This window comes from Homo sapiens, chromosome 11 (assembly GCF_000001405.40).
Source record: "Homo sapiens chromosome 11, GRCh38.p14 Primary Assembly".
In the NCBI taxonomy this organism is placed as follows: Eukaryota; Metazoa; Chordata; class Mammalia; order Primates; family Hominidae; genus Homo; species Homo sapiens.
The window spans coordinates 14855698-14877326 of NC_000011.10; the positions used below are offsets into that span (position 1 = coordinate 14855698).

Consider the following 21629-nt stretch of genomic DNA (forward strand, 5'->3'; position numbering starts at 1 on the left):
AGACAGACAGAGAGAGAAAGAGAAGATTATGACTTAAGAGCTAGGAAATAAGTAAAATGAGAGGAGATAGGAAGTGCTGGCATAAGAGTATTATTTTCAAGTTAGAGTTCTATATTCAGCTAAGCTACCATTTTACATGAGAGCAAAATAATGAGATTCTCAGATATGCAGTGATTTTAAACAGTCATATCTTGACCATCCTCAGAAAGTTATTTTAAAATGTATTTCAGCAGAAGAAGGGTGGTAACTAAGATAAAGGAAGATAAGGGATTATTAGAAATTTTTGAACTGATACGGTTTGTCTCTGTGTCCTCACCCAAATCTCATCTCAAATTGTAATCCTCACATGTCAAGGGCAGGGCCCTGGTGTGAGGTGATTAGACCATGGGGGCAGGTTCTCCCATGCTGTTCTTATGATAGTGAGGGAGTTGTCATGAGATCTGATGGTTTAAAAGTGGTAGTCTCCCCTGTGTGTGCTCTCTCTCCCTCTCCTGCTGTCTTGTGAAGAAGGTGCCTGCCTCTCCATTGCCTTCCACTGTGACTGTAAGTTTCCTGAGGCTTCCCCACCCATGTGGAACTGTGATTCAATTAAACCTCTTTTGTTTATAAATTACCTAGTCTCAGGTAGTATCTCTATAGCAGTGTAAACACAGAAAAGAACAAACCGAGAACAGTGTAAAAGAATCCTGAGATAACAGCTGTTTGTCAAGACTATTTCTTTACCCTATAAAAAAACAACAAAACTAGCTGCTTTGTGTTCTGTGGCACCTTATTTATCTGCTATCTCTCTACTGAATTTTTTTTTGAGTTGGGAATATTATTTTTTAAATGAACAATCTTTCTTAATCTTTTTCACTTGAAGTGCCTTCTTAGTTGGCCAGGTGTGGTGGCTCACGCCTGTAATCCCAGCACTTTGGGAGTCTGAGAAGGGCAGATCACGAGGTCAGGAGATAGAGACTATCCTGGTAACATGGTGAAACCCCGACTCTACTAAAAAACACAGAAAATTAGCTGGGCGTGGTGGCGGGCACCCGTAGTCCCAGCTACTCGGGAGGCTGAGGCAGGAGAACGGCTTGAACCCAGGAGGCAGAGCTTGCAGTGAGCTGAGATCGCGCCACTGCACTCTAGCCTGGGCAACAGAACGAGAGTCCATCTCAAAAAAAAAAAAAAAAGTGCCTTCTTAGTCATGAGATAATGGCTATGACCTAGATTTTTGTTAATGTTTCCTCCTGTTTCTTATGTTTTAAAAGGGGACATTTGTTCAGATTAGTCAGACTTATCCTTTGTATGATCTAAGTCCTTCTTATGTCTGAAGGGTTTTCTCTTTTTGTTCTTATTTAAGTGTTACTATTTGCTAAGATTCTGTCAGTTTGTATTAAACCCCTTCTCAGATCTTTCCAACTCAGAGGGTGAAAAGTAAGATTTATGACCAACTAATTTGTTTTGCCAAAGTATTGATGTATTTGCTGTAGAGAGAAGGATCTATAGCTAGAAAAAGCAGGTAACAAGATGCTTTAGCACAAAGTCAAAGGATGTTAGTTTATTGCAGCTCCAAATGAGCTGGGACCCTGTCTTTTTTCTCTGCTTCTAAGAGCCCGCAGTAAGAGCTGAGGCTTCATTATCTGTTTGCTTGAAATGTTTTTCTTATTTGGTTTAAGCTTGGTCTGCTGCTCTGTGTGCTACCTTCAAGTATTCTTCTAAAGTAGCATTGACATTTGCTTCCTACTTACTGCTTCATGATTCTTTCTTGCCTCCCACTCATCTTTGAGCTTGTGAGTCTACTGGGGATCAGCAGGGAACCCCTTCCACTTACTCTTCATATAGGCTTTTTCCTTCTTATGCAGTGACTTGGTTAGCTTTTCTCAATCCATTCTCATTTTCACCATGTCTTTGAAGTTTCCAGTATGGTCATTATATCTAGATTCTAATACTGATTCAGACCTTCCCCCCTCCGCCCATTTTATATTTCTTTGGCAATTTCAAAGGGTAATTTGAATGGTGAAAGAATTCCGAACTTGCTCATTTTTTTAAAAAACTGATCTTGCTATCTGTAAGTTTATTAAGTCAGCTAGCTTCACAGGGCATTCATTGTACATTGTGTTGTATTGAGCCCAGAATCAGATTACTTCCTCCTGAACAGACAGAGCTGTTCTCATAGTTAAGTCCTTGTCACATTTGAGCATGAATTAGTCAAATCATTATTAAATGTAAATGACCCCTTAGGGAGTTTTCGAAGCTTACTCTTTCTGTTTGGTATTTATAATGTTTAGAAGTTGTATTACAGGTGGTATGAAATGCCTTTATATGGCTCATTGCAAAGTTTAAATCATACCATTGCTTTTATAAAACCAAATAGCTTAAAAAATAATCACTTAGTGTTATGCATCTGTGCTTAAATCTAGGCTATAGCTAATTTTCACAAATAAGTAGAGCTATTCAATTAAGCTCTCAGAATATGTATCCTACCTGAGATCTCATTCCGTCCTTCTTTCTCATTACACAGTAGGCTCCATGAAAACAGGGATAGGGTTTTAATTTTTATCCCTGGCCTTTAACACAACTTGGCTGTAGAAGTTTTTTTAATAATTACTATGCTTATTTAATAATTTAAAGAATTGCTTAATTTGTAGAGGTGGAAGAGGCTTTAGAAATTCTATACTCCACTGATTTTAAGTCTGTATTCCAAAGTCCTAGAGTACTGAGGAGGCACCTCAGGGTCTTCTGCTGGAGTGAAGTGTAGAAAAAGTGAGTAGTTCCACACCATTTGAACCAGAGGATTTGTGTTTTTATCTGTTACATAGTTCTGTTTTACTCCCAGGCCCTGTGTGAGGATGGGAATCCAGGATATGTCCATCTCAGACAGGCAGGTCTCTTACTTACCCTGGACAGTACTGCTTCCTCTTCTTTAGTCACCATCACCATTGACTCCAGAATGACTAAACAACAGAAATGTATTCTGAAACCTGCTCTAGATCCCTAATGACTTTATTCACAGAAGTTTATCTGAGAAGGTTTTCTGATTAAATGAAATAGACCTCAAAGTATCAACTTTACATCTCTTGGGAGGCAGCACGGTGTCTGCAAAGATAAACTTTAAAGATATATAACCCTTTCACTTACTAGAGCTATGTATGTTGGAAGGAAAGGTGTATCTTAACCTCTTTGTACTTCAGTCTACTCATTTATAAAATTATCACAACCTATTTTCACAGGTACTAAAATACCTGGTAAAATGCCTAGTATATAGTAGGTATTCATTGTTTGTATACTTCCAACCTGATATTAAAGATATTAAACTTTAATATCTTTGAGGTGTCTGCCTCATTTTTCTATATTTCTTTTTAGGCAGTTTTATACAATGACAGATCTGTTCTGGAAAATCATCATGCTGCGTCAGCTTGGAATCTATATCTTTCTCGCCCAGAATACAACTTCCTTCTTCATCTTGATCATGTGGAATTCAAGCGCTTTCGTTTTTTAGTCATTGAAGCAATCCTTGCTACGGATCTTAAAAAGCATTTTGATTTTCTCGCAGAATTCAATGCCAAGGTTTGTTATGAAAATTAGTGCCTGATTTAAAAAATCTTTATTGTCAGTGTTACTGATAAAATATGTTTTTTAATGTTAAGTTAGAATTATTACTACTTAGGAAGTAACAATAAATAGTTGATATAAAATAATATATATGCCTATATTTTTAAAAATAAACATTTTTATTGTTATGGTAACATTTCCTAAAATATTATTGCTTGTTATATTTTCTTTCGACACATAAACTTATACTATTGTGACTTTATTTCACATATTTTTCACATAGAAACAAACCAGTTATTAGAAACAAACCAGTTATTTCAAATGAGTTTAAAGAGAGATTTGACAAAGCCATGCTCAGTGTCAAGTAAGGCATTATATAAAATTAACTTTATGTGTTTCTTAAGAATCCAGTTAATTATGTCTACCTCACTGCACCTGTTATACCTTCTTTATATTAGTGATTCTTTAGCTGGCTAGTTTAGGGAAAAGGAAGCACCCTCTTCTACTTGAGAATAATTCATTCATTCAACAAGTATTTATTGGGATTGCCCACTATGTACAGACATTGTACTAGGCCAAAGAACTCATATTCACCAGGGGATCAAGAATCACTGCCCCAGTATGACGGTGGTACTCATGGGACTATGCTTTATCCCTCAGACATTTGAGGTGAAAAAAGTTGAGAACCACTGCTTTAGATTCCCACCCTGGCTTGCAGGAAGCTGCTATTTTCTTGATGACTTTTGTGACCTAAAAGAAGCTGTACCTGCAGGGTAGAGAAACTGGTAACAAAGGAGTACTAGATTAGACCTGCTGGAAGGAGACCCTTATATATGTTGCTGTCATGACATTAATGAAATGCTTATAAAAATCAGTGAGAAGTAAGGGTACCTTTAAAATTATTTCATAGTTGTATAGTCTTATTCACTTTAATTTTTAAATAAAATTCATTTAAGTGCTTAAGTCACCTTTTATAGGTAAAAGATTATCTAATACAATACTTTGAATGTGTATTCCTTAAAGACTTCTATTTTGAAGTCTCTCAAAAAAATGCCATATGAATGGGGCTCTAGACTTCCTATTAAGTTTCAATCAAAAGAGCTCTTCTCTCAAGTGTTTTCTATGGTGGTGTTCTACATATATATTTTTTTTTTTCTGAAAGAGTTTGGTGCCAAAAAGCAACCATCACACTGAAGTTCAAAAGCTATGATGTGGCTCATTCTTTTCATTTTTTACAAAATGAAATTTTAGTTCTTGAAAGGCTTTTTTTCAGCTAATAATTATCATTTATTTAAATAACAATATTTAACATTTTCCGTGAACAAGGCATTTTTTCATTTATTAATCCTCATAGCAGCATGGCTAGATTGGTACTACTTTTCCTACTTCATAGATGAAGAAAGTTAGATTCGAATAGGTTAAGCAGTTTTTTCACTGTTACACACTGAATTTTTGATTCAGAATACAACTTGCTGATTCATGACATTCTGAGTCAGGATTTAAAACTATAGGGCCAGCTTCTCAGACTTGTGTTCAGTTCACTATATCATGTTGCCTTTCACAGCAAGGGCAAACTTCTCTAGCTTCTTAAGTGTTCTTTTTTGAGGTAGAAATAAGTAGTTATAATTCTTATATGATTTTTTGATATTGTGTATGTACTATACTTAATAAATACATATATATATATATACACACACACACACACATATAATTCATGATTCTTTGTGGTAATCACAAATATTGAAACCCATGGTTAGTTATATGTTTTGCTAGAAAGCATTTTTTAGAAAGGAAATTTAACCAATAGAGGTCCATATTATGGAATAAGCTGATTTTAAAAAGAACTATTTGCTGAAATTTCTTTCTGTCATTTAGACAGGAAACAGTTTTAAGATAATTTGGTAAAAGCAAACAAAACAACAAGTTTTAAAAATGCCTTCAGAACCTAAAATGATGTTGTTTTTCCAAAATAGGCAAATGATGTAAATAGTAATGGCATAGAATGGAGTAATGAAAATGATCGCCTCTTGGTATGCCAGGTGTGCATCAAACTGGCAGATATAAATGGCCCAGCAAAAGTTCGAGACTTGCATTTGAAATGGACAGAAGGCATTGTCAATGAATTTTATGAGCAGGTAAGTTGAAACCTGAGCTTGGTGGGATTTTTAAGAGCTGTCATGAGAAGACACTACTCTTTGGGTTTTGGATAGCTTTATTAAGTGTTTGAAATCTGAGTTGCTTTGACTGGGAAGGGTTAAAAATTGTTGCATTTGCTTTGGTTCTTAGTATTTTCTGTGTTCTGTTTGCCTTTGCTGTTAAAATTTTAAAAAATAACTTATTCCCTATCTTGACTGAGCTGAATATACTCATGAGTCTACAGGTAAGGCTGTTAGCAGCCGCAAATCCGAGTTTGCAGCAACCTCAATTCTTGCCCCCTCAGAAGAAAGAATTCAACTGAGGGGCATAAGGCAGAGGGAGAGACTGAACCAAGTTTTAGATCAGAAGTGAAAGTTTATTTAAAAGCTTTAGAGCAAGAATGAAAGGAAGTAAAGTACACTTGGAAGAAGGCCAGGCGGGCAACCTAAGAGATCAAGTGCATGGTTTGACCTTTGACTTGGAGTCTTATACATTGGCATGCTTCCAGGGTTGTGTTACTTCTCCCAATTCATCCTTTGAGGTGGCTGTCACATGTGCAGTGACCTGCCAGCACTTGGGAGGGGCCACATACACAGTGTGTTTACTGAAATTGTACTCATGCTCACTTGAGGCATTTTTCCCTTACCAGCCCAGTGTTCATGGAAGAAGGTCATATACCAATTAAACTCCACCATTTTGCCTCTTAGTGCACATGCTTGAGCCCACTCACCCACCTCCTGAGATCTTACCAGGAAGCTGCTGATCACCAGTTTCTGTTGGGTGACTGCCTTTCCCTGGTGCCAGCTGTGACCAATTATTATTTTAGAGAGACAGCTTAACCTATCACCTGATGGTCACCTGACATTTCTGATGGGGTTGGGGGTGGGCCCTCTCCTGCTCTGCCCATGTCTGCCTGACTACTTTCTATAACAAGTCTAGACTACATTATGATTCCAAGGTCTCTTTCAACCCTGAGATTCTGTAACCTAGAAGAATTTATTTCCAGATGAAGTGGTTTTTAAGTTATTCAGGGTGTGCTCAGAATATATTTAAAGAATATCAATCCATTTTCAATTCTGCTATAAAAAGACTAACTCCCTGCAGTAGGAACATCAACTGGGAAGAAATCCGGACAGAGGGCTACAAAATGGAGAGAATAGACACTTAGTGGTTCTCAAGGATTCAAAGATATAAGCAGGCTCTTTTGTTCTTAAATCTTTTTTTGAGACAGAGGCTTTCTCTGTTGCCCAGGCTGTAGTGCAGTGGCGCGATCTCGGCTCACTGCAACCTCTGCCACCTGGGTTCAAGCAATTCTCTTGCTTCAGCCTCCTGAGTAGCTGGGATTACAGGTGCACGCCACCATGCCTGGCTAATTTTTGTATTTTTAGTAGAGATGGGGTTTCACCATGTTGGTCAGGCTGGTCTCGAACTCCTGACCTTGTGATCCGCCCACCTCGGCCTCCCAAAGTGTTGGGATTACAGACATAAGCCACTGTGCCCGGCTGTTCTTAAATCTTTAATTTTTTTTTAAATTATTCTTTAAGTTCTGGGACACATGTGCAGAAGGTGCAGTTTTGTTATATAGGTATACACGTGCCATGGTGGTTTGCTGCACCCATCAACCTGTCATCTACATTAGGTATTTCTCCTAATGCTATCCCTCCTCTAGCCCCCTACCCCCTAACAGGCCCCCATGTGTGATATTCCCCTCCCTGTGTCCACGTGTTCTCATTGTTCAACTCCCACTTATGAGTGAGAACATGCGGTATTTGGTTTTCTGTTTCTGTTTTTGCTGAGAATGATGGTTTCCAGCTTCATCTATGTTCCTGCAAAGGACATGAACTCATCCTTTTTTATAACTGCATAGTATTCCATGGTATATATGTGCCACATTTTCTTTATCCAGTCTATCATTAATGGGCATTTGGGTTAGTTCCAAGTCTTTGAAAAGCATTCCTATTTCTCCACATCCTCTCCAGCATCTGTTGTTTCCTGACGTTCTAATGATCGCCATTCCAACTGGCATAAGAGGTTATCCCATTGTGGTTTTTATTTGCATTTCTCTAATGACTACTGATGATGAGCTTTTTTCATATGTTTGTTGGCTACATAAATGTCCCACGATGCATAATCATTGGATTCCCCAGGGTTGAAATGAAGGAAAAAATGTTAAGGGCAGCCAGAGAGAAAGGTTGGGTTACTCACAAAGGGAAGCCCATCAGACTACCAGTGGATCTCTCTGCAGAAACCCTACAAGCCAGAAGAGAGTGGGGGCCAATATTCAACATTCTTAAGGAAAAGAATTCTCAACCCAGAATTTCATGTCCAGCCAAATTAAGCTTCATAAGCGAAAGAGAAATAAAATCCTTTACACGCAAGCAAATACTGAGAGATTTTGTCACCACCAGGCCTGCCTTACAAGAACTCCTGAAGGACACACTAAATATGGAAAGGAAAAACCGATAACAGCCACCTCAAAAACATACCAAATTGTAAAGACCATGGACACTATGAAGAAACCACATCAACTAACGGGCAAAATTAACCTGCTAGCATCATAATGACAGGATCAAATTCATACATAACAGTATTAGCCTTAAATGTAAATGGGCTAAATGCCCCAATTAAAAGGCACAGACTGGCAAATTGGATAAAGAGTTAAGACCCATCAGTGTGCTGTATTCAGGAGACCCATCTCACGTGCAGACACACATAGGCTCAAAATAAAGGGATGGAGAAAGATTTACCCAGCAAATGGAAAGCGAAAAAAAAGCAGGGGTTGCAATCCTAGTCTCTGATGAAACAGACTTTAAACCAACACAGACAGAAAAAGACCAAGAAGGGCATTAAATAATGGTAAAGAGATCAATGCATCAAGAACAGCTAACTATCCTAAATATATATGCACCCAATACAGGAGCACCCAGATTCATAAAGCAAGTTTTTAGAGACCTACAAGGAGACTCAGACTCCCACAAAATAATAGTGGGAGATTTTAACACCCCACTGTCAATATTAGACAGATCAAGACAGAAAATTAACAAGGATATTCAGGACTTGAACTCAGCTCTGGACCAAGTGGACCTAATAGACATCTACAGAACTCTCCACCCCAAATCAACAGAATATACATTCTTCTCAGCACCACATCGCACTTGTTCTAAAATTGACCACATAATTGGAAGTAAAACACTCCTCAGCAAATGTAAAAGAATGGAAATCATAAACAGTCTCTCAGACCACAGTGCAATCAAATTAGAACTCAGGATTAGGAAACTCACTCAAAACTGCACAATGACATGGAAACTGAACAACTTGCTCCTGAATGACTACTGGGTAAATAACGAAATTAAGGCACAATGACATGGAAACGGAACAACCTGCTCCTGAATGACTACCAGGTAAATAATGAAATTAAGGCAGAAATAAATAGACACAATGTACCAGAATCTCTGGGACACAGCTAAAGCAGTGTTTAGAGGGAAATTTATAGCACTAAAATGCCCACAGGAGAAAGCAGGAAAGATCTAAAATCGACACCCTAACGTCACAATTAAAAGAACTAGAGAAGCAAGAGCAAACAAATTCAAAAGCTAGCAGAAGACAAGAAATAACTAAGATCAGAGCAGAACTGAAGGAGATAGAGACACAGAAAACCCTTCAAAAAAATCAATGAATCCAGGAGCTGGTTTTTTGAAAAGATTAACAAAATAGACCACTAGCTAGACTAATAAAGAAAAGAGAGAAGAATCAAATAGACACAATAAAAAATGATAAAGGGGAAATCACCACTGATCCCACAGAAATACAAACTACTATCAGAGAATACTATAAAATTTTTGGCATTAAAATAATCTTTCCACTTTGCTGAATCTGCCATTTTTTGGGGTCCCGTTTTGAGGCTTCCTACAATGTAGGAGTGCACTGATTTCCTGACATGCCTAACATTTTGTTATCTCCAAAATAGCAACTACACCTTTTTGGCTTTGGAATTACATTCCTTAGGAATCCTTGTTGGCCCTAATTATCAGGAAAGGTCAACATATCTACTAGGTGAGGGCTTTCTTAACATGAGTGGAAAGTGGGAGTAATTGAGCCTATATAACCATGCACCTGGTATACTTTGTTACTTCCAGATTGTATTGAAAATGTGCAATGTTTTACACCCACCAGCTAAACATCCCAACACAATAATGTATACTCTGCTGTTTATAAGTTACAAAATGCCGTACTGTATAATCATGGAAAGATTATTAATATTTTACTATTATCTATTTAAATTATATTTAATTTCGGGTAGTAAATGGCTATATTTACCTAATTTGTAAGATTATACTATGCAGTTTGCATATTCTCATTCTCAGTGATAATTGAAACTTGCTTTAGAGCTCGCCCATGGATCTCATGTTTACAAAAGAGGAATTTTATGCTAGGGAAAATGTTATCTTTATATTATATGTACAAATGGGTAATAAAAAATAATAGTGTATGTAAATTTTAGAAAATTCACTAGTTCAGTGAGAGAACATTAGAAATATTCATTTAGGTCCCGCATATCATTTTAAAAGCATATAGAATTAATACTTATTAAGCAAACCTGGAAGCCATGCCTGAGGTTGAATCCTGGCTTCTCTTCCTTATCTCCAATACGACCTTGGTTGGGTAAGTTACTTAACCTCTCTGTGCCAGTTTCCTCATTGATAAAATAGGAATGATGGTACCTACCTCATAAGGTTTCTGTGAGGATTAAATGAACTAATATATGTAGACTTCTTAGAATAGTTTCTGATACATAAGTGCTCAATAAATGTTAACTATTATAATTTCATATATATCACTAAAAACAATATGTTATCTCAGAGAGTTTCACTTAATCTAAGTGTCATTATTCAATATCAAAGCAGGAAAATGTCATCTGATATCCTCCCACTTATGAAAGTTTTAATCATCCCTCATCAGAACTAAACTTCTTTCTCATTCTGGTTATGCTATTAAACTTTCTTCAGATATTGATGTAAAATTCTAACCATGCCCAACTTTTTTTTTATTATACTAATTATACTGTCTTTAGATGCCTACAGCCATTTAACTGCCATGGACTTAGAAAAGCCAAACTCCTGGGTTATATCTGTGAAATTACAGAGTCCTATAGATAAACCCAACTGTTTTTGGAAAAATATCAATTGTTTTCTTCCTCATAGACAATAATCTCGTAAAAGATTTCTAATCATGGGACAGTTAATCACGGGGACAGTTTCTGGTTGTTTCCTCAGAGTTATGTTGGCTCATTACAGAACAGACACTCCTTACCTGCAGAATTTGTACATTGTGGGGAGTAATTTATCCCAAACCAGTTCAGACACTAGGACTAAAATGTTAATAGTACCATTTGGAGAATGCTCAGTACTTGCTAAACACTTTATATTAATATTTCCTTTAACCTCATCATAGCATCCCTATTAGGTAGATTATTATTCAGATTTTACACACAGTGCATTTGTACATAGAGCTTGCCCAACACCACACAGGTAGTAGTCTGATCTCAAATTAAGCCCTAGAAGCCACAGTGGGAGAGTACCAGAAGGCAGGCCGTTGGGGATCTAGCCCCAGGATCCTCACCTCAATCGTGGTAGCTCTACTTTATTTGTTTTTCATATTAGGTTTTCTGATTTTGAATCATTAGAGAGTTCTGCTGTTAAAAAAAAAAAAAAAGGGGGTGGAGGTAGTGTTATTGAAAAGCACTTGCAAAATTCAGCTCTGTACATTTGAGATATAACTACAACAAAAATGTTTCTATTATGCTTTTGCCCCTAGATAAAGAGAATCCATAATTGACACTATGGAATTTTGCAGTTTGTCAGTAAAATATCTGATACTTATTTTAATAGATCTGTATGTTTCTTATTAACTGAGTATCAGCCATATTGGTTGATGTGAACAGAATGTGAGAATAAAGTTTTGTTTAGGATTTCTCAATGTTAAATTCTTACAGTTGAAATGATAGATTGATGCTTATTCATAAAAAATATTTTGATATAGATTGTTTATTTTAAAAAAACTCAAGATAATTTTAACAGCAAAGCTCAGTGGTGGTTCTTTCACCAGTTAAAAATGTACTTTTCTTTTTAAAATATGCAGGGAGATGAAGAAGCAAATCTTGGTCTGCCCATCAGTCCATTCATGGATCGTTCTTCTCCTCAACTAGCAAAACTCCAAGAATCTTTTATCACCCACATAGTGGGTCCCCTGTGTAACTCCTATGATGCTGCTGGTTTGCTACCAGGTCAGTGGTTAGAAGCAGAAGAGGATAATGATACTGAAAGTGGTGATGATGAAGACGGTGAAGAATTAGATACAGAAGATGAAGAAATGGAAAACAATCTAAATCCAAGTAAGAATATAGGGACATTATAATTTATTTAATGTTATAGGTTGAGTATTCCAAGTCTGAAAATCTGAAATATGAAATGCTCCAAAATCCAAAATTTTTTGAGTGCCAGCATGGTGCTCAAAGGAAATATTCATTGGGACACTTGGATTTCAGATTTTTCAATTAGGGGTGCTAAATATAATGCAAATATTCCAAAATCAGAAACCCCTCTGGTCTCAAGCATTTTGAATAGGGATATTCAACCTTTAATAACTGCATATATCCATTTAACTTAGATTTGGAACTTTGTTTCTCAGATACAGATTCAGCAGTCATTACATTGAGTAACCACTATCTAAATGTTCAGATTCAACAGTCATGTTTTGAGTAACTTCTATATGCCGGGTACTGGGTGAATACTGTCATACAACAAGCATTCTTATTCTTATTTAATTAAAGTAACATCTCTTGAGGTGTTGTCCTCCAGCCAGTACTCTTCACAGTACCTGTGCATGCACGATAGGGCCATCACCACATCTGAACATATGTGAGGTGGATCCTCATGGCAAGTCCTCCTTCATGTCACTCCTTTTCACACATCTCACCCCCAATCCCACTAGGCAGCTGAGGAGCACAACTTCCATAGCAGCCTACTAATCTGCTGTTCACATAGACTTGAGAAGTAGATCAAAACAGTGGGGGGGAGGGGGGAAGGAAAACATACATTCCCTGGCTGTAGAGGGAGAGCCAATTTTGTGGCATTATGAATTTGAGTTACCAAACTGTAATGACATACTTTCCTGTATAAGACAATTAGTATAAATGGAAAATGAAATGAAAATTATCACTTTGTAATTGTGAATGAAATCAGTTATTTGCTCATTTTAAAGTAGAATTTAAATTATACCTACATAAGTATTGTTTTGATTTTCAAGCATGCAATAAATCAGACCAGACAGGAAAACTACAAAGAACCTCCCACTGCAACACACACATGCCTTGTATTTAGGATTAGCATGGCAAATCCTATTAAAATGTATTTAAAATTCTTTTTTTAAAAAAATGGCATTAGCATCTGAAGGTTGACTGACTTCTAAAAATTATACTCCCCCATCTCTACTAAAAATACAAAAATATGCTGGAAATGGTGGCAGGCGCCTGTAGTCCCAGCTACTAGGGAGGCTGAGGCAGGAGAATGGAGTGAACCCATGAGGCGGAGGTTCCAGTGAGCTGAGATCGTGCCACTGCACTCCAGCCTGGGCGACAGAGCAAGACTCCGTCTCAAAAAAAAAAAAATTGTACTCATCAAAATGTTGGTAATTGTGTTTAATTCAATACATAAGAATGCCCTTAAAGGTTGGTTTTTAACTTTGGGTTATTTTCATTTGAAATTTCAGCACGCTTCTTCCCTCTCCACCATACCCAGCCAGTTTTCCCTAAACCTCTTCTCTATTTTGTTTTTATCCGTAACAATACCATCTAACATATTCCTGTTTTGCTTCTTTCTGTTTTCCTAGCTCTTTCCACTAGAATCTGAACACCATAACGCAGGGATTATTTTTATAGTACTATTTCATTATATTATTTTTATTATACTATTATTTTATAGTACTGTTTACTTTTATACTCCCAGTGCTTAGATACCTAGAATAGGCACTTAATATTTGTTGAATGATTAAATCATATTGCTATGATTAGAATATATTTATTTTAAATTTCACAGAACCACCAAGAAGGAAAAGCAGACGGCGAATATTTTGTCAGCTAATGCACCACCTCACTGAAAACCACAAGATATGGAAGGAAATCGTAGAGGAAGAAGAAAAATGTAAAGCTGATGGGAATAAACTGCAGGTGGAGAATTCCTCCTTACCTCAAGCAGATGAGATTCAGGTAATTGAAGAGGCAGATGAAGAGGAATAGCGACAGTTTGAGTAAAAGAAAAGTCATATTGAAGAAGCCCAGAGGGTTGTGCCCAGGGGCAGAAATCATTGCCTAGTGTTCACCGGCTGACTCTCAACTGACCATTCCCATGTGGACAGGCCTTAATACTGTGAGAGGATCCTTGCTCTGCTGGCAGTTTCCCACTCCTATGCACTTTCACAGGAACTAGAAAACTATTCTTAAACCAAAAATACCATCCGTGTTGACCCATGTTGCAGAGCCCTTACTTAAATCCTTCACTGGTGTATGAATACTTTGTCATAATGCTGCTTTGCTGGGTAGTGAGCTCTTATTTTTCACTGGGGGTCAGCTATAACTAAAAACTCAAGTGACATATTTCAGTTACCAAAGTGGCCAGGAACTTTTTGCTTTTATGAAAATAGATTCATATTGTATTTCCCAGTGTGTCTTTTATGTCTTTGAATGTTTTGGAGAAAAGTCTATGCCTGTCTAAAAATGAATCCAGTGTTGCCTTTCTGAGGGATTTCTGCTCAATGCAATACACTGTTCAGTGCTATTCTCCCAGCTAGGTTTATCCATGAAGGACTGAGTGACCTTTGTTGTATTTAACAAAATCCAGGTGCATCAATTTCTGATGCTTTTTACTATTGTGTATTATCTACTATGTGTGTTTTATTTCTGCTGAGAGTATTCAGGTTTGCCATGGACATCAGAAGTTTGAATTCCAGTCTTATCTTATGTTCCATGGCTGAATTTTAAAGCTGTTTAGGTTTAACAATGAAGGGATTTATTCTTTAGTCAAAATTGTTGTTTTTACTCTAGCTCAGGATTCGTATTTTTAAAGATTTAGTTAATATGAACACAGCACAGATTTGTTAGAAGAAAAAAAATTTGCTGTAATACCAAAACTAACCTCATCAAAGATACAGAAAAAAAGAAATATAGTGAGCCCTAAAGGACACATACATTGAATAAATAATTGGAACATGTGGTTATCTTTAGATCCACATCTTAGCTGTCATTTGTTCACTCTAAAACTGATGTTCATCTTTCTGTTAATTTCCCTCTGCCTAAAGACTACATGACAGAAATGACCTATCACTACTTATTATTTCTGAAGCCTAACTGCAAGACTGATTTCTGAGAACAAGTAAAGAACTGGAATACTTATTTTTCATATAAAAATCTAAATGTGTTAATAAATCATTTCATACAAAAGTACATTATTAAATAACCACATTATTAAAATAATTGCAAGAAAATGGACCATATTTACAATGTTTTGTAAACTTGCTAGTGTGTGGATATGTACCCTACTTGTGAAATACATTTGAAGATATAAAGAGCAGCCAAAATGATGGCAAAATGGTAGGCTAATATTTTCTATTATTATTGGAGAACATATCATATTTTGGAATCATGCAATTTTGCACACAGTGAAACCATTAATTTTCCAAGGTAATTCCTTTAGAATATGGTATTGGCATGCAGTTTCTTACTTATCTAGAATATTTGGCTTATCTGAAAGATATCAATTTAAGATCTCTGGAAGTGTTAGAATTTTTGATCCTTCACAGTGTCAATATTTAATGAATCACTAAGCTTTATTTATTAGACGTGTTGAGTGAGTGCTGAGTTCCTTGCTGCCACTTTTGTTACCATTGTCACACACTATGTGTAAACCAGTCCCACCACTTATTACTAATAAAATTTTGACTGATAATTTATATTTGCACTTACAATATATATATCCTGTCCTTATATTTCTCTAGAGTACATTTTCCATCATGTTTAAGTGTATTTCTGCTATTATTTCCTCTCCTGCAGAATACATACAAGTGTATGTGTATAAAGTCATACATGTACAAGCATGCATATTGAGATTGAATCACATTTCCATACTGTCTGTTATTTTATTGGGTTTTATATTGGGTTTCTTTAGTTTATGTTGTTTTCTCAAAAGCAGCATTTTAAATTACGAATACTGGACTTATTGGATTTAATTATAAATCCAATTACTACTGGAAACTCATTTTTACATAATATAGTCCTTAAATTATTTAACCCTTGCTAAGTAATTGACATATGTAACAATAACTAGCCTAAAGAAACCCAAAAAAGTATCTCTCCCGAGCTGAAACTTAAAAATTCGTAAGTGTAAGAAAGAATGTGAGAATATATTAAATGCACACTGTACCATTAGATGAAATCTTACTTGAGAAATTGCCATAAGCCATATTACAGATCTTACTTTGTTACTGAATCAGATTAATTTCTTGTTATAATAATTTTCATCATAAATTTTCTATTTTTAAAGCCGCTGGTACTAGAAATATTCTTTTAATGCTATATCTATGTACCTACTGACACATTTTTCTCCATAAAAGTACTTTTAAAAATTACTTCATGATTTGAAAGCTGTTTCCTGCTATTATTTCATTACTTACTTTGTTGGTGCTATTGGCTTTTTCTACTTATTTTTACAAGAAACCTGGAGATTCTGGCTTACTTAAGTCATCAGAAATTCTCTGTATCTAGATTGCATCATCTCATAGAAACACACTTCACAAAAGAGATGAATAGATACAACTCTGGTTCCTTCATTATAGTTGCCAGATTAATATAAGCTGCTCTAGAGTGTGTAGGGGATAGGAGTGGCAGGTGGAGCAGAAATGAATCACTTCTCAAAGGAAGGTGACTTTTAAACTCAGAACTGAAGAATTAAAGACTTAGCTCAGAAATGATTGCTTGTAGAGAGAGAATAACAGCATGTACAGAGGCCAGAAGAGAAAGCATCCCCACACTGGATAAGCCAAAAGAGATTTAGGGTGGCTGGAAGATAGAGCACAAGAAGAGGGAGTGGTAGAGAGATGGTGGTTAATGAAGGGCCTTGTAAAACATGACATGCCACTTAAACTTTATTCCTAAAGGAAATGGGAACCAATGGAAAACTTTCAATCTGGAAGAATAACACGATTAGATTTACATTTTATGAGGATCAAATAGCATACTTCAGTTGTCCCTTGTTATATGTGGGGGATTGGTTCTAGGACCTCCTCAGCTATAAAAATCTTCACATATTCAATTCCCACAGTCAACCCTATGGAACCTGCAGATACAAAAAGTTGGCCCTCTCTATACAAGGGTTACGCATCCCACAAATACTATATTTTCATCTGCATTTGGTTGCGGATGCAGAACCTGCCAATGCAGAGCCAACTAAATTTACTGAAAAACTCCACATATAAGTGGACCCATGGAGTTCGAACCCATGTTGTTCAAGGGTCAGCTGTATTTTGAATGGTTTAAAACTATTGTTTTGGACTGAGTTCCTGCACCTAGGCCCCAGTAGACCAGACCAAAGCAAAATGGAGTCACTCATACTAAATGCCACACAATCAAACTGAAACTTTAAGGAAATAGGTAGATCCCCAGACTAGTTTTTCCTCAAAACAGGAGATTCCACTCTATCTGAGCATAATCAAGGAAGTCCCCTCTGCTTTAAACTGTACAAAGAAGATGTAATCTGAAGTAACCTAATGATAACCAATCAGTTTTTATTTTTCTATTATTCTTTGTTCCCATCCTTACAAAACCCACTGTTCTGCCATTACCCAGTGGGAACTTCATTCTATTTTGTAGAATGAAAGTTACCTGATACATGAATCTAGAATAAAAGCCAATTAGATCTGTAACTAATTTGTTGTTAATTTTGTCTTTTGACAGAACGGCAGAGCAAGATTTAGACATAGGGAGTGCTTGGTGATATTGACTGGAATAGATTGTGGACCACAGGGACATGTACAGAGTTATGGTTTAAGATAGATAGAGTTGGTATGGGGGTAAGAAAGATAATAAGGGTGGCTCCCAGATTTCTGATTTAGACAGCTGTCAATATCATTCACTGAGATAGGGTATATCAGAGGAGTTGATTTTGGATGTGTTAAGAGAGTGAAGAGATGAATTCAGATTAGAGCAAAGTGAGATTAAGGGGCTTGAGACAACCAAATGTATTTCAATGTAGGTATGGAACTCAGAAAAGTGATAGGGGCTACAAGTATGGATTTGGGAGTCAACAGCAAATAGTTGGAAGTCTACTTTGAGTATCAAGCTTTCCTTTTCTCAAAAACTGTGTGTCATAGTATTGGCTTCTGGTACATTGGACAATGAGCCCTTTTTGCTTGCTAACACTGCTGCATTCTGTATCTATTATTTATCCTGGACATCTCGCCATATCACTACACAGAAAAATTCCTTATTCTTGGCTGGGTGTGGTGGTTCACGCTGCAATCCCAGCACTTTGGGAGGCCGAGGAGGGTGGATCTCTTAAGCTCAGGAGTTCGAGACCAGCCTGGGTAACATGGCTCTCAGTATTAAGGTACTTCTACCTATTTCTTTTTGCATGTCTTGTAATTTATGCTTTATGAAAGTTGTTACTTGGTGTGGTATTGTAACTATTATAAAGTCCTTATGAATTATAGTATTTAGAATTACAAAGTGCACTTTTTTGTCTTATGTTTTCTGGCTTGAATTCTGCCTTGTTTTATTAAGATCATGACTCATGCTTTCTTTTTATTTGTATTTCCTGGCATGCCTTTAACCATCCTTTTATTTTTAACCTTTAACCTATGTTTTAAGTATCTCTTCTGTACAACAACAATATAGCATTGGATTTAGCCTGAAATCAAATCCAATGCTATATTATATGAACACCTTTTTGATAGGTGAGATAAGCCCATTTATATTTATTCATGTGACTGTAAGGACTTAATTCTTCATATTATTTGCTCTTTTCTTAAAAACTCATTATTTTAATTACAACATTTAAGAAAGTGTGTATCTTTGATTCAGTGGCTATAGTTATACTATCTTTGGACCCCATTTCTTTATAGTATCTGCTTCTCATCTATAAATTAAAAATTTAGCTTGTACATATTCTTATTTCCCACTACCCAATTTAAGGCAATATTATCCTTTACTCTTGTAAATTGTACTATTAAATATTCTTAAACTTCTACTACTTGTCACTTTTAAACTGTATCTTTTGAATTCTAACTATACAAAGCAAAGAGCTTATTCTGTGTTCTACCATTTCTCCTCTTCTCATTTTTTGTTAGATGCATTATTTTTATCAGAGTATAAAACATTTAGATAGTATTGTCACATTTATGCCACCATTGTCTTAGTTCTATAATTAAATGTATTCAGTGCTCAAGGCTAGTCCTTTTGTTGATGTTTCCTCAGTCATCACTTGGTTCACTGAAACTTGTCCTCATACCTGTTTAACAGTTTAGGCGCTAGAGAACTTACCGTTCAAAATCAGACGAAATTAGGGAGCCCTCAATCTAGGGCACTAATCCCAGGTAGGAGCACCACCATCTCCTTGGCATAGGAACCCAATTTATTTATACTTATTTCAGCACTTGGGGGCAAGTTCTACAGCTGCACAAACAGAAGGAGAAAATGAGATGGGGCAAATTGTTCAGCTGTTTATCCCAGTAAATCTGCTTGATTTCTTTCCACTTTTAGAAAAAGTTCTCCTTACCTACTTCTCTCCTTATGTACCGATTTTCTCCATAGCTATCCCGTGAAGAATGGGCTCCCATCTCCACCTGTGGCTTCGTCTATGCATGATTTTATTTGTGGTTTTCTATATTTTTCCATTCACCTTCCATCTCCTAAAATTTCAAAGTATCTGATCCACTAACATTGCCCTCAACCCGTATTCTCAATGCCTTTATTCCTTTTCCTATCCTTAATGGTTATTTCAGTGATACATGAGAAAAAACAAGTGTGCTCACTTGTTGAATAAGAAATTAGATTTCTAACATTTGAGTTAGTAGCTTAGCACTGACTGATGAGAGAGAAGGCATCCCTATTGCGTAGATCCAATGTATCTGTTACAATGTAATTTCAAAAAATAGATTTTTCCAATATGGCTTACTAATTCATGCTAATTTATATTTTTCCAAAAGTGCAGCATTTTATTTTTACCACAGCTAACTGGTTCCAAATAATTGAGTTGAAAGCATAATGAAAAACAGCCTTATAAATAGTAAAGCATAAGATAAATTATTGGGTGTGAATAAAAGGAATATGGAATGAAATAAGGCATGCCTCTGCTGTGATCTAGAGAATTCACTTCCCCTGTGTAAACCTCTATTTCCTTGGCTATAAAATGAGCACATTAAGTGAAGTTAAGGCCCTTCTACCTTTAAAAGTTTATGAATCTACATCTTTTATAATTTGTCAGGCTTACATTAACCTGATTAAGGAAAAATGCAAACTTGGAAGCAAGGCAATGAAAATAGCATGATCTTCATTCTGCATAGATTTATGGAGTTCCTAAATTGTACTAGCAGCAGTAGTGGTGTACTCAAAAGCAAAAGAAAGCCTCCTCAACTTTTATTATAGTCTACTTCAGTTCACTAAGTTGTTTTGCCTAGTAAAACTACCTTAAAGTTCAACTTAGGCTCTTAGAGCAGATATGACACTAAGTAGGAGGCCCTGGGATGAGAGATTTGCTGTATCAAAGAAAGAACAAAGACTAAGGAGCAACTTGAATATGTTTGTCAAGATTCAGGAAGGTTGGGGCAGGATGTGACGGCTCACACCTGTAATCCCAGTACTTTGGGAAGCTGAGCTTGGAGAACTGCTTGAGCCCAGGAGTTCAAGACCAGCCTGGACAACTATCTCTGAAAAAATAAAATAAAATAATTAAAGAAAGATTCAAGAAGGTAGGTTGGAAAGTTGCTTGGCTTAGCAAGTGAGGCAGACACTATAGTTGGTCTTCTGACTCTTCATAATTATCCCTAGTTTTGTTTAGATAACTACACCACCCATATGTAGCACATGTATTTTGGGAGAAGCCAACTCCATCACTACTTCTAGTAGTCAGGCATATGTTCAGGCTAAGTGAACCATAATTACACTCACAAAGCATAGTTTTAAATTAATGGATGGGCACATAACTCAGAACCTACAGGACACAAAAAACAGTTTTCTGGGGGCATCTGAAAAATTCCCTCGCTCTCCCAGAAACGATCTAAGCTTGCTTTCTCTGTATGGAGGTGAGCAAAGCACATGTGCTCCATGAGCTAGCCTTAAGATAAAGCTGGTATCATCTGGAAGGCAAAATTCAGAGGTGGAAAGACACAGGATCTTTGATTACACCATGTAACATCTAAGCCATACGGACCCTAAAACTTCCACCCTTCCTCCAAATTCCCCTTTTATTGCTTAAGTGAACTTGCAAGGATTTTCTTTCCCTTGCAACTGGAAACATCTGAATATATCCAAGATGCAAACTCCTGATGTATAACACACAAACTTGAAACTGTTCAACAACTAAGTCCAAACTAAGGTTAAATCCATATTCTTAATAGAAGTCATTGTGTGCACTGACTCTGAGGCTGCAACTATTCATGAGCCATGTTACAAGAGCATGTACCTGTAATATAACAACTTTAGAAGAAATGATGATGTAAAAATAGCTATAAATGGGTCAATATACATTCCAGTTTGTTTAGGGCAGTCATAATTTACCCTTGTTGTCCTGACATAATTATGAATAGGACCCCATTCACTCTCAAGTGTCCCAGTTTACACAGTTACCCTGTCTCTAAAGCATGTTTTTGGATTTGAATATAATTATCTTTAGAAAAATAACACTAACCCATGGAAA

At 36.4% G+C, this 21629-nt stretch overlaps 1 protein-coding gene across 9 annotated transcripts in view, besides 1 other annotated feature; it reads left to right on the forward strand.

Moving 5' to 3' along the window:
• PDE3B (phosphodiesterase 3B) overlaps positions 1-21629 on the forward strand; it is a 255518-nt gene that overhangs the window by 211894 nt on the left and 21995 nt on the right. For 6 of the 9 annotated variants that reach the window (NR_190763.1, NR_190764.1, NR_190766.1 and 3 more), the window contains 2 exons: positions 3346-3549; positions 5508-5669. Coding sequence is in view for 5 of the 9 variants with exons in the window: in NM_001429700.1 (NP_001416629.1) it covers positions 3346-3549; positions 5508-5669 (366 nt within the window). In the remaining 4 variants the exon portion in view is untranslated. Of the gene's footprint in view, positions 1-3345; positions 3550-5507; positions 5670-11808; positions 12062-13763; positions 16348-21629 lie in introns of those variants that run through there. The other 3 variants (NM_001363570.2, NM_000922.4, NM_001363569.2) reach the window with 1 other exon arrangement.
• Positions 343-543: a silencer, noted in NCBI's record as "peak1207 fragment used in MPRA reporter construct". NCBI's record gives its function as "represses an SCP1 promoter by STARR-seq MPRAs in K562 erythroleukemia cells {active_cell/tissue: K562}" and the evidence as "EXISTENCE:reporter gene assay evidence [ECO:0000049][PMID:32103011]".